Source organism: Homo sapiens, chromosome 13 (assembly GCF_000001405.40).
Source record: "Homo sapiens chromosome 13, GRCh38.p14 Primary Assembly".
Classification (NCBI taxonomy): domain Eukaryota; kingdom Metazoa; phylum Chordata; class Mammalia; order Primates; family Hominidae; genus Homo; species Homo sapiens.
The window spans coordinates 21065474-21078748 of record NC_000013.11 but is presented as its reverse complement, the minus strand read 5'-3'; the positions used below and the strand labels follow the sequence as shown (position 1 = coordinate 21078748).

Below are 13275 nucleotides of genomic sequence, written 5' to 3'. Positions count from 1 at the left end.
CAGGAAAGGCTTCCTGAAGGAAGTGGCAGGAATGGGAGGAGTTTTAAGACAAGAGCAATGGGAGCTTTCAGAGCAATAAGTGGGAAAACTATTAAGAATCAAAACCATCTGGAAAATAAACAGAAACACATACACAGCATTCCTGGGCAGCTGAAGGAACCATGAGTTCACGTCACTTGCCTGATTGGTTCTTTAGAAAGTCATTAATTTCAATTGTTCTATCACATTTATTGATCACCTCCTACTTGCCAGGCCCTTTTCTAGGTGCTGGGATGGAACCAAGACTAAAATAATCCCTGCCATGGAGCTGTTGTCAAGTAGGAGGTAAGGCCCTCCGTCCCTCCCCCGCTTCCTTCCCTCCCTCTTTCCTTCCTTCCTTCCTTCCTTCCGTCCTCCCTCCCTCCTTCCCTCCCTCCCTCCCTTCCTCACCTTCACTTATTAATTCATGTAGACTCCCTTTTTCAGTAACCGCAGAAGAGCGTCCTGGAGAGAAGGTTCCAGAGAAGCCTGGCGCAGGTTCCGGCCTGGCGGAGGCTCCCCGGGGTCTTGGAGCTGCGCGTGGGCATCAACACCTGGCTGTCTGTGTCTCCAGCCTGGGTCCAAGATGTGTGGGCCGGGCTTGCAGGCAGTGGTCCAGAGAGGCTGTTGGGAGATGACCATTTCCATCTGAAGGGCTTCGTAGTCTCTGAGGTACCTTTGCTTTCTCATTTGTCGGCTCCCTTTGTTCAGAGTCCGGTTGGCCCTGGGCCTCCGCCTGATGCTGGGCTCGCACGGAAAGCGCCAGCTCGCGTGTTGGTCCCCACCACTAAACCTATGCAGAGAGCACCGCACGCGAGAGGCTGGCTTACTCCTCTCCTGCGGCTGCACACAGGCCGGGGTGCAGGAGGGCTGGATCCGGTTTGAGGGAGAAGGGAGAGCTGGGCCTGGGAACCAAAGGAGGGGATGGCTAGAGAAAGTGCCAAGGCTGCATCCGGAAGACATTCAAAAGGGAAGGCGGGGCCAGGTGCGGTGGCGCGCACCTGGGATCCCAGCACTCAGGAGGCTGAGTCGGGAGTATCACTTGAGGCCAGGAGATAGAGGCTGCAGTGAGCCGAGATTGGGCCACTACACTCCAGCCTGGGCAACAGAGCAAGACCCTGTCGAAAGCGAGAGGGAGAGAAAAGAAAAAGGAAGGAAAGGGAAGAAAGGAGAAAGTTACAGGGAGAAGACAGCAACCAGCCAGCCAGGTAATGCCTGAGATGACCAGGAGACGTCAAGCTAGGAGAAAGGCCTGAAACAGATCCTCCCTCGGCCTCACAGGAGCCCAGCCTACCCACACCTTGGTTCCGGATTTCCAGCCTCCATGAGTGTGAGAGGAGTGAACTCCTGTTGTTTAGGATCCCGATGTTGGCAGAGCTTTCCCTAGCTGACTACCAGGGCCTGCCCTGAGAAGCCCTCACCCTCGGTGCTCAGCTGCCATGGGACCTCGGCTCTGTCTACTTCCGCTTGCCTCTTCCCCACAACTGCTGCTCCCACTCAGTAGCCAGAGTGCGGTTTTGGGGTGTTTTTTTTTTGCTGTTTTTTTTTTCTTTTTACAGGTTCTGGTTCTGTCGCCCAAGCTGGAGTGCAGAGCGGCAATCTCGGCTCCACTGCAGCCTCAACCTCCTAGGCTCAAGCAATCCTTCAGCCTCAGTCTCCCAAGTAGCTGGGACCGGAGGCCCGCACCATCATGCCCGGGGAATTTTTGTATTTTTTGTAGAGATGGGGTCTTGCTATGTTGCCCAGGCTGGTCTGAAATGCGTGGCCTCAAGCGATCTGCCCTCCACTGCCTCCCAAACTTCTGGGATTATGGATGTGAGCCCTGCCTCAGCGTGCTCTTTATTTTATTTATTATTAATTTATTTTTGAGGAGCTTCGCTCTTGTTGCCCAGGCTGGAGTGCAATGGCGTGATCTCAGCTCACCGCAACCTCCGCCTCCCGGGTTCAAGCGATTCTCCTGCCTGAGCCTCCTGAGTAGCTGGGATTACAGGCATGAGCCACCCTGCCCGGCTAATTTTGTATTTTTAGTAGAGACGTGGTTTCTCCACGTTGGTCAGGCTGGTCTCGAACTCCCAACCTCACGCGATCACACCGCCTTGGCCTCCCAAAGCGTTGGGATTAAAGGCGTGAGCCACCGCTCCCGGCCACAGCGTTCTCTTTATAACATCAAGTTTCGCCCCCTTAAGCCTTCCAGTGACTTCCATCCTTCCCTTCTCACAGGGCCTGGCTGGGCCGCCCCCCCACCCCCGGGCCTCCCCTCTCCTCCCTGCAGCCTCAGCCACCGCCCCTCCGCCCCTGCACTGTGCGACGACTGCAGCCTCCACGTGCCCTTCCTCCTGAAGATGTAAGTGGTTTCATGACTTAGTGTCTAAAGGCGAACATGACCCAGACTGGAGTTTTTATTATTATAGATTCAATGTTATCACATTCAATTATTTATTTTGATTTTAAAATAAATGAAAATTAAAACGTTTCCCTGGGCCGCTAGAAGCACCGCGGGCCCAGCACTGGCCTATGGGGAAGCCGCCCGGGCAGGTCCCCACCCCGGGGCGAGGCGGAGGGGTGAGGGTGGAGGAGGGGTGTGGGGAGCAGGGGCCGGAGGGGTCGTGGGGGGGCGCAGAGGGGTGGAGCAGGCGGGAGCCGGAGGGGTGAGGAGAGCGGGGGCGGGGGGAGGAAGGGTGAGAGGAGCGGGCGGGGCGGAGGGGTGAGGAGGGTGGGGGCCGGAGGGGTGAGAGGAGCGGGCGGGGCGGAGGGGTGAGGAGAGTGGGGGACGGAGGGGGGGGGGCGGGGGCCGGAGGGGTGAGGCGAGCGGGGGGCGGAGGGGTGAGGAGAGTTGGGGACGGGCTGGGTCCTCAACTCGCCTCAGCCGCGCAGCCAAGCGGGCAGCCTTGGGGAGAACGCCGCCGCCGGGTCTGCAAAGGCAGCTCGGGGCAAGTCCCCACTCCTCGTCCAACCTAATTGTGGCCCTAAATCACTCCTGCCAGAGCCACCCAGAGGGGGATTTTTGGGCTAAACTATGGGGAGCCGTCCAGCAAGAGCGGACTGGCTCAGGCGTCCACACCGCTTTTGTGAAGCTGGCGCAGGCTCCGCGCCCTGGACACCAACAGCGCGCCCCGCCCGGAGTCGCCGCACCGGCCCTCCCTACGCGCGGGGGTCTTCCGCCACAAGGCCAGTCTCTGCTAGGGGAAACAGACCGCAGGGCACTTCCTACTGCTTCGCAGCAGATATTCGTTTCTGTGATTATTTTATTAGTCTGTCTTCTTTAAACTTTAAGTTTTGTGACGACAGGGTCGTGTCTGCGTTGCCCACCACTATGGTCTCCATGGCTAGCGCTATGCCTGGAATTCAAAACATACGTATTGAATGAATGAATGAAGAAAGGAAAAAAATATACTTATAATTCCAGAAATTGCACCGGAAGAGATTCAGTCCTTTAAACCTTAAAGGCTTTATGTCTCCTGAGGTTCCCTGAAAAATACAAATACTCAGCGGTTATAGTTAAGAGAGAAAATGTTGCCCAGGATGCGGTGGGGACGTAGGAGGAAGGAGGGCTCGATCACTGTTTCCTGCGGATACCATGCCGGGCCAGCCCTGTACTGGGGATGTGGTGACATGGCCTTACCTTCCGTGAAATGATGCCAGGACACACAGGGTACCCCCCAGTCCCTGCTCTTACTTTTGACTCCTCTTGGGGACCACAAATAAAAAAGGAACTGTGCTTGGGAGACTGTGATCTTACTCTATTTTTAACTGTACTCAGTTATTAAAAAATTAAACTGGAGAAGGAAATTGAGAAATCTATTGCCAAGAACCATTCTACGGTAGCAGGGTGGGCGCCCAAAACCTACAGGCCTCTCGTCGCAGGAGCCTCCATGTTCTTTGGTTTCTTCCCCTGCTGGGAGCTCAGCGCTCTCTGCCAGCCCGTTCTGACTCCTTCTGCTCCAGCTGCACGTCTTGGCTTAGCCCTGTTTTCCTGCTTCTTCTTCCCTTCCCAGCCAGACTTCTCCAGATTTCTCCAGCTAAGTTGTGTTCAACATTTGAATAGTTGCACAGTCATTAGGGAGATCTTCAACTCATACACATTTTGAAAAATAATTAGTACACGATTTGTCAGATGGAAGGGCCATCTGCGAGTGTGATGTGGATGCTTAGAAGACAGGCTGGGAAAAACATCTATCATGTCCGATCTCCCCTTAGAAAACGAGCCTGTTAGTTTCACTCTTGAGTTGTGATTTTTAGTGTAGTTTCAGTTGTTTAAAATGTTTAACAAATATTTTCTTTTTGTCTTGACTTCTTAAAGTTCTTTTTTTTTGAGACAGGGTCTCACTCTGTCGCCCAAGTTGAAGCTCACTGCAGCCTCGACTTTCTGGGCTCAAGCAATCCTCACACCTCAGCCTCTATCCTCCCCGCACCCCATCCTCTCCAGTAGCTGGGACTACAGATGTAGGCCACCATGCCCAGTTTTTTTTTTGTTTTGTTTTTGTTTTTTTTAGTAGAGATGCGGTTTCACCATGTTGGGCAGGTTGGTCTTGACTTCCTGCCTCAAGTGATCTGCCCGCATCTGCCTCCCAAAGTGCTGGGATGACAGGCGTGAAACACGCACCCTGCCATTCTATTTATTTTATTTTTTGAGATGGGGTCTCATTCTGTTCCCAGGCTGGAGTGCAGTGGTGCCATCTTGGCTCACTACAACCTCCGCCTCTCAGGTTCAAGTGATTCTTGTGCTTCAGCCTCCTGAGTAGCTGGGATTACAGGCACCTGCCACCACAGCTGGCTAATTTTTCTATTTGTATTAGAGATGGGGTTTCACCATGTTGGCCAGGCTGGTCTCAAACTCCTGACCTCAAGTGATCCACCCACCTCGGCCTCCCAAAGTGCTGGGATAAAGGTGTGAGCCGCCATGCCCAGCCACAGGCATTCTTTTTTTTTTTGAGACAGAGTCTCGCTCTGTCACCCAGGTTGGAGTGCAATGGCTCAAACTCGGCTCACTGCAACTTCTGCCTCCCAGGTTCAAGCAATTCTCCTGCCTTAGCTTCCTGAGTAGCTGGGATTACAGGTGTGTGCCACCACGCCCGGCTAATTTTTGTATTTTTAGTAGAGATGGGGTTTCATCATGTTGGCCACGCTGGTCTCGAACTCCTGACCTCAGGTGATCCATCCGCCTCGGCCTCCTAAAGTGCTGGGATTACAAGCGTGAGCCACTGCGCCCGGCCAAGCAGGCATTCTTATTTATTATTAATTCCTTAAAGTTCTAAGGTCCTCTTCTTTGGAAACACATGAAATATAACTATGTGACAAGAATAACATTTCTTGTTAACAGGAAGTACTCAAATAATTTTGGGGCCACAGACAATAGATAGTAAAGAAATGGCTTCTAATTTCAGAGATAAAATAATAATAACTAACCTGTGGGAAAAGAGAAGAGAAAGGTTGTACCAACTATAGTTATTTTGTTTCTGCCGTGTTTATGGAGGCTTCCATTTGTCCACTTTTTTATGTAAAACACAATTTGTTGAGTGGCTTCTATGTACTAGGCAAGGGGTTGGATACTGTGGCAGCTACCATACCTGCCTACATCCTAACCTCTTACCTCAAAGAGCTAAAACTCTAATAATATGAGACAGGTCTACAAGGAATCATGACACCAGACCATTTCTCAGGGGGCAGAAGTCCCACAGAGCTCCTGGGAATTCAGGAAAAAGCAAAGGGGGCTGTTCCTGGCTAAGATCAAGAACAACTTCTCAGAGACACTGAGTGAGAAGCAGGCCATGAAGGATGGTGTAGTTGTTTCCTGTTGCTGCCGTAACAAATACAGTTTTCCTTCCTTACTTGCAGGGGATACGTTCATCCCCCTGTGGATGCCTGAAACTGCAGATAGCCCTGAACCCTATATAAACTATGTTTTTCCTATACATACATACCTATGATAATTTATAAATTAGGCACAGTAAGAGATTAACAACAATAACTGGTCGGGCACGGTGGCTCACGCCCTGTAATCCCAGCACTTTGGGAGGCCAAGATGGGCGGATCACTTGAGGTCAGGAGTTTGAGACCAGCCTGGCCAACATGGTGAAACCCCGTCTCTACTAAAAATACAAAAATTAGCTGGGCGTGGTGGCGTGCACCTGTAGTCCCAGCTACTCGGGAGGCTGAGGCAAGAGAATCATTTGAACCCAGCAGGCGAAGGCTGCAGTGAACTGAGATCGTGCCACTGGACTCTAGTCTGGGCAACAGAGTGAGACTCCATCTCAGAAAAAAAAAAAAAAGAAAAGAAAAAAAAACTAAAAATAAAATAGAACCATTAACCATTATAACAATATACTGTAATAAAAGTTATGTGAATTTGGTCTCTCTCTCTCCCAAAATATCTTACTGTATTGTACTCACCTATTTTCTGACCTTGGTTGACAGTAGGTAACTGAATCTGTGAAAAGCAAAGTCACAGGTAAGGGGGGACTACTGAACCACAAACTTAGTGGCTGAAAGCAACATAACTTGATTATCTTATAGTCCTGTAGGTCAGAAGCCCAATGTTGATCTTGTTGGACTAAAACCAAGGAGCTGGAGAGCTGCATCCCTTCCTGGAGGCTCTAGCAAAGGGGCTGTTCCTGCTAGTTGGGCTTTTAGCCTAATTCAGGTCTTTGTGGTTTTAGGACTGGGGAGTGTTTCTTGCTGGCTGTTCTCAGCTTCTGGAAGCTGCTGCATCCCTTGACTTGTGGCCTCCATCTTCAAAACTAGCAGCAGGGTCAAGTCCTTCTTTTGCTGTTGCATCTTTCTAGCCTCCCCTTCTGCCTTCTACTGCTTTTAAGGACCCATTTGACTACGCTGGGCCCCACCTGAATAATCCAGCATAGTCTCCCCCGTTTAAGGTTTGTAACCACAACCACATCTACAGCTCCCCCTTTGCCAAGTCAGGTAACACAGTCACTGGTTTCAGTCATTAAGGCATGGACATCTTTGGGGGTGGCTATTATTCTGCCTACTGCAAATGAGAAGGATTTCAACCAAAAGAGAAACTGGGGAGGGGACATCCAGGCCTGGAAAGGCACAAGCAGGGTATGGGGACAGATCCTATGCAGGAAATAGCCATTTCATTGGACCTGGGCTCAAGTGATCCTCCTGCCTCAGCCTCCCAAGTAGCTGGGACTACAGGCATGTGCCACCATGCTGGGCTCTCCGAAATAATTTTTACAGCTTACTCCCCAAGTATTTGTTTGACTGTACATAATCGCAGAGCTGTGCCATCTCATCTGTCTACTTCTTTGTTTACTTCATTTCCCTATTTCTCTAACATCTTCCCTGCTCTCTCAGAAGTCCATTATCTGCATGCCTCAAATACCAGGCTTTCTCTGTGACTTTGTTCTGTCCTTTTCTCCTTCCAAGTATCTTTACCTCAAACATTAGTTCTTCCTCCCACCAATGTCTTTCTGAAGGCTATTAGCTCTAGGACATTTTTCGAGTTCCAACCTCAAACCCAAGAACTCTTTTTGGCCTGGGGTTACCAACTATCAAATACGATCTGCAGAGACTGCATCCTGATTTGTGTAGATTTCCCTTTGCTCTCTGAAATTTGGCAGCCTCTTGGTTACTGGCCGGCTTCCACTTCTGCAGGTGAATCACCTTATCATAATCTCATCATGGTTTTCATTATCAAACCCATTTATCAAGCAGGCAAAGATAACTCATTCGGTTTTTATTTATCAGCTCTGGTTGATAAAGCAAAATACTGAGGGTTTTTTTTTTTTTTTTAGGAGACGAGTCTCACTCTTTCACCCAGGCTGGAGTGCAGTGGCATGATCTTGGCTCACTGCAGCCTCGGCCTCCCGGGTTCAGCAGTTCTCCTGCCTCAGCCTCTGGAGTAGCTGGGACTATAGGCACACACCACCACACCCGGCTAATTTTTTTTTTTGTATTTTAGTAGAGACAGGTTTCACCATGTTGCCCAGGCTGGTCTCGAACTCCTGAGCTCAGACAGTCCTCCCACCTCGGCCTCCCAAAGTGCTAGGATTACAGGCGTGAGCCACCTCGCCCGGCTGATAAAGCAAAATACTGGTCTTAAGGTCAGGCATGGTGGCTCACGCCTGTAATCTCAGCACTTTGGGAGGCCGAGGCGGGATCACAAGGTCAGGAGATCAAGAACATCCTGGCTAACACAGTGAAACCCTGTTCTCTACTAAAAATATAAAAAAAAATTAGCTGGGCGTGGTAGCGGGTGCCTGTAGTCCTAGCTACTCGGGAGGCTGAGGCAGGAGAATGGCGTGAACCCGGGAGGCAGAGCTTGCGGTGAGCTGAGATCGCACCACTGCGTTCTAGCCTGGGCAACAGAGCGAGACTCCATCTCAAAAAAAAAAAAAAAAAAATACTGGTCTTAAAAGGAGCTGTAAAATAACAACCAAAACAACATTTAGTAGTTAATTTTAAATTCAAAGTTTAAAAACATATCATGAAAATGTTTCCTTTACAGTTACACAATTAAATATGTATTGTCAATTTAGATTAACTCAGATGACTTTGAAAATATTAGTTTTGTTATGGAAATGGATTCTTGTTGAGATGAGAGTTTGGGCCTTACCCTGTTGCTCCTAAAGCAAGTTTTACCAATGTTTACTGCAAACGTTTGATAAAAAATTTAAATGGAAGGTTTTGGAGCATATAGAATTAAAACTTCACCTTTTCAATGGGATGTTTCTTTTAATTATAGACAAAGCAGCATTCTGCTCAGGTCTGCAAATGAAATGGAAGTTGCAGCCAACTGTAAACGTAATGAGAAATGAGTAAATAGTTGGTGTTGCTGTCATAGCTCACTCAGCAGACAGAGTAAGCTTTCGGGGGACGTGGTAAGAAAAAAAATTGTTTTAGCAATTCTTCTCTTACTAACGTAAGTGTCAACACAAGAATTCTGTAAATGCAGAATGTGATTTGTATCTTCATAGTGTATCTTTGAGCTTTTCTGGGAATGAATCTTCTCAAATTATTGAGCAATTCTGACTTACGCAACCACATAGTTTATTACTCATCTGAGAAGCAGAGTGGCTATTTGGAGAATGAAGCTACACTTGGAGTCTCTGGAGGTGGCTGGAAAGGGAGGTCTGCGGGGACTGGTCAGGTGGTTGCCCTGGAAAGTTGCTGGAACCCTGGGCCTTCCCTAACTATGCATTAGAGGCTGTTGCTGTATTTTCCTGGAGATTCAGTTTTCCAAAATAGCTAAAAGCAAAGCAATTAGAAATAAATTAAAATCAGAGGAAAATGTACAGTCTCATGATTTTAATATTGGAAAACATGAATAAGAATTGAAATTTAATACTGAAGATTTTCTCCCCTGGTACCCAAATTGTTTTCATAATTGTACAAAATGAGAATTTGTAATGGTTACAATGGTTAAAATGGTAAGTTTTATGTAATGTATATTTTACCACAAATTTAAAAATACGATTTAAATTAAGAAAGAAAACTAGTGGCAAAACCTATTAAATAAAGGCTTTTTAAAAATACAAAATAGGCCAGGTGCGGTGTCTCACACCTGTAATCCCAGCAATTTGGGAAGCCGAGGCGGGTGGATCACTTTGAGCTCAGAAGTTTGAGACCAACCTGGCCAACATGGCGTAACCCTGTCTTTACTAAAAATACAAAAATTAGCCGGACGTAATGGCGCAGGCCTGTGGTCCCAGCTACTCAGTAGGCTGAGGCAGGAGAATCACTTGAACATGGGAGGCAGAGGTTGCAGTGAGCTGAGATTGCACCACTACACTCCAGCCTAGGTGACAGAGTGAGATTCTGTCTCAAACAAACAATAATAATAATAATACTCGTTGGGCGAGGTGGCTCATGCCTGTAATCCTAACACCTCGAGAGGCGGAAATCACCTGAGCCCAGGAGTACGGGACCAGCCTGGACAACATAGCGAAACACAGTGTCTACAAAAAATACAAAAATTAGCCAGGCGTGGTAGCATGCGTCTGTAGTCCCAGCTGCTGGGGAGACTGAGGTAGGAGGATCCCTTGAGCCTGGGAGGTCGAGGCTGCAGTGAGCCGTGATCATGCCACTGCACTCCAGCCTGGGTGACAGACCCAGACCCTGTCTCAAAAAAGCAAAAACAAACAAAACAGTAATACTCCACTTTTCCCTAAATCTGACGTCCAATATTATAAACTCTGTGGAAAATGTCTAGGAAATGAGGGAGCAAAAGGTCTTTTGATAGTTGAAATAGCTGTCAGAAAGTTCTGGTTCTCTGCATAGAAAAAAAGGTTTTAAGGATAAGAAGTTCTATTAGTTTTTACTTTACATATAATTTTAATAAGCTAAGCAATGTTTCTTTGCTAATAGATTAAAAGTTTAAAATTAATAAGGTATGATATATTACTAAAGACTGGATTCTTAATAGCAGAGAAAAAAATAGCTGATTACCTAACAGAGACAAAACAACTCTAAAGAAAAAACCAACTGAGGCAAAAGTTTTTCCTTCTACATTCACATTCAACACTCAACACACTTCTGGTCACCAAAACGTGTGGGTTTTTCCCATCACACACCAACTGGGTGTCCTAGAATAATTCAGTTCAATTCTGACACTATCTACCTGGAGTTAGTGCAGACCCCATAGGTTAAGGGCTCAGTCCTAGAATACTGCCCCCATTTGGGATGCCAATAGTAGGTTGTCACCTAAACTGGTAATCAACTGTCTGTAAATCACTTTTCACTACCCCTTCTCAGGTTTTATTAGTTTGCTAGGATGGCTTATAAAACTCATGGAGGCCGGGTGCAGTGGCTCATGCCTTTGGGAGGCCGAGGCCAGCAGATCACTTGAGGTCAGGAATTTGAGACAGCCTGGCCAACATGGTGAAACCCCGTCTCTACTGAAAAAAAATTAAAAAACAACAAAAATTACCCAGGCATGGTGCCGCACGCCTGTAATTCCAGCTACTCGGGAGGCTGAGGCAGGAGAATCACTTGAACCCGGGAGGCGGAGTTTGCAGTGAGCTGAGATCATGCCACTGCTCTCCAGCCTGGGCGACGGAGCGAGACTCTGTCTCAAAAAAATAAATAAATAAAAATAATAAAACTCATGGAAACACCCGCATTTACAGGTTAATGACAGATACTATAAAGGATACAGATGAACAGAAGAGATACATAGGTTGAGGTCTGGAAGAGTCCTGAGTGCTGGGCTTTCTGTCCCCATGGAGCTGGAGTGTGCCACCCTCCCAGCATGCAGATATATTCATCATCCCAGAAGCTCCTGAACACTGCAGTTTATGGAGGCTTTATGATGTTGGCATGATTATTAACTCAATCACCAGCCCCTCTCCCCTTCCTGGAGGATGGGAGATAGGGCTGAAAGTTCCAAGAGTCTAATCATGACTTGGTCTTTCTGGCAACCAGTCTCCATCCAGGAGCCACCAACAGTCACCTGATTGGAACAAAGATGCTCCTATCGCCCAGGAAATTCTGAGGGATTCAGGAGCTATGTGTCAGGAATTGGGGTCAAAGACCAAATATTAGAACAGAAGATTCTCCTAGCGCCCCTACATACAAGGATATTAAGAGCTCTGTTTCAGGAACTGGAGGCACAGACTAATAGATAAACATTTCATAATAACTAACCACAACAACAACAACAATTCCTCAAAACACAGACAAAGCCTGGTGCGGTGGCTCATGCCTATAATCCCAACACTCAAGACCAGCCTGGGCAATATGGCAGAATAACATCTCTACAAAAAATACAAAAAAATTAGCCTGGTGGGATGGCATACGCCTATGTTCTCCCCCACCCAACAAAAACGAAAAACAAAAAAAAGGCCAAAAAAAAAAAAAAAAACAAAACCCAAAACTGTTAAATTGAATGTATTAAGTGCAATTTTTTTTTTTTTTGAGACAGGGCCTCTGTCACCTAGACTGGAGTGCAGTGGGAGCAATCATGGCTCACTGCAGCCTCAGCCTCCTAAATAGCTGGGACCACAGGCATGTGCCACTATGCCCAGCTAATTTATTTGTATTTTTATGTAGAGACAATGTTTTGCCATGTTGCCCAGGCTGGTCTTGAACTCCTGGACTCAAGTGATCCTCCCACCTCAGCCTCTCATAGTGCTGGGATTACAGGTGTGAACCACCACACCTGGCCTTGAATTTTACCATTAAAATGTTCTTTACATATGGTTTTTGGGGGAGAATATCTTCTCTGTTCTTAAGGAATGCATAATTTAGTTAAGGACATAAACTACTGTATATGGATATAAAACGACTCTAAAACAAATGAAACAAGTCGATGTTCCGTTTTCTTCTCGGTTGTCTGGGTCTTGCATGATCTGATCCTATTCTATTTTTATGCTACTGCCCATAGAGAACATTCTTCTGTAGTTAGGCAGATTTTATTTTATTTTATTTTGAGATAGAGTCTGGCTCTGTCGCCCAGGCTGGAGTGCAGTGGCGCCATTTCGGCTCACTGCAACCTCCACTTCCTGGGCTCAAGCGATTCTCGTGCCTCAGTCTCCTGAGTAGCTGGGATTACAGGCATGTACCCCCATGCCTGGTTAATTTTTGTATTTTTAGTAGAGAAAGGGTTCCGCTACGTTGGCCAGGCTGGTCTAGAACTCCTGGCTTCAAGGGATCCGCCCGCCTCGGCCTCCCAAAGTGCTGGGATTACAGGTGTGAGCCACCGTACCCAGCCATAGTTGATATTCTATAGGAGCCTTAGGGAGAGAACCCCTACACTATCCTGGCTTCACAACTGCAGAGGCCTCACAAGCAAGTGGATTCTCTGTGTCTGCTAGGCCTGGAATCGTTCTCTGCTTTGGTTGAGGCTGGAGACACAAGTCTCTGAGTTCCCCTCTTCCTCACTCCACAAAGTCCATTCCCCTTTCAGAGGAAGTATAAGGGAGTAATTTGTTTTCAGTTTCCTTACTTATGAGTATGTTGTAATCATGTGCCTTTTTTTTTACTTTTTTTTTGAGATGAAGTCTTGCTCTGTTGTCCAGGCTAGAGTGCAGTGGCTTGGTCTCCACTCACTGCAACCTCCACCTTCTGGGTTCAAGCAATTCTCCTACCTCAGCCTCCCGAGTAGCTGGGATTACAGGTGCCTGCCACCACGCCCAGCTAATTTTTGTATTTTTAGTAGAGACAGGGTTTCACCATTTTGGCCAGGCTAGTCCCGAACTCCTGACCTCATGATCCACCAGCCTCAGCTTCCCAAAGTGCTGGGATTACAGGCGTGAGCCACCATGCCCAGCCTCATGACTTCTTGAGATTATCTAGAGA

The 13275-nt window shown here is 47.7% G+C and overlaps 1 long non-coding RNA gene across 2 annotated transcripts, besides 2 other annotated features; it reads right to left on the bottom strand.

Moving 5' to 3' along the window:
- Positions 2649 to 3149: an enhancer, noted in NCBI's record as "H3K27ac hESC enhancer chr13:21649739-21650239 (GRCh37/hg19 assembly coordinates)". NCBI's record gives its function as "activates a minimal SCP1, AML or CMV promoter by ChIP-STARR-seq in naive H9 embryonic stem cells {active_cell/tissue: H9 hESC(naive)}" and the evidence as "EXISTENCE:reporter gene assay evidence [ECO:0000049][PMID:30033119]".
- On the bottom strand, positions 3126 to 11217 carry LOC105370104 (uncharacterized). Of its 2 annotated transcripts, XR_941728.1 has the most exons (4): positions 11152 to 11217; positions 8692 to 8773; positions 6409 to 6445; positions 3126 to 3356 (listed from the first exon to the last, which is right to left on the bottom strand). It is a non-coding gene; the product is annotated as an uncharacterized LOC105370104 (long non-coding RNA). The 2 variants fall into 2 exon arrangements; XR_007063712.1 differs by lacking the exon at positions 11152 to 11217 and having other exon boundaries at positions 8692 to 9435.
- Positions 3150 to 3650: an enhancer, noted in NCBI's record as "H3K27ac hESC enhancer chr13:21649238-21649738 (GRCh37/hg19 assembly coordinates)". NCBI's record gives its function as "activates a minimal SCP1, AML or CMV promoter by ChIP-STARR-seq in naive H9 embryonic stem cells {active_cell/tissue: H9 hESC(naive)}" and the evidence as "EXISTENCE:reporter gene assay evidence [ECO:0000049][PMID:30033119]".
- Positions 11218 to 13275: the final 2058 nt, after the last annotated feature.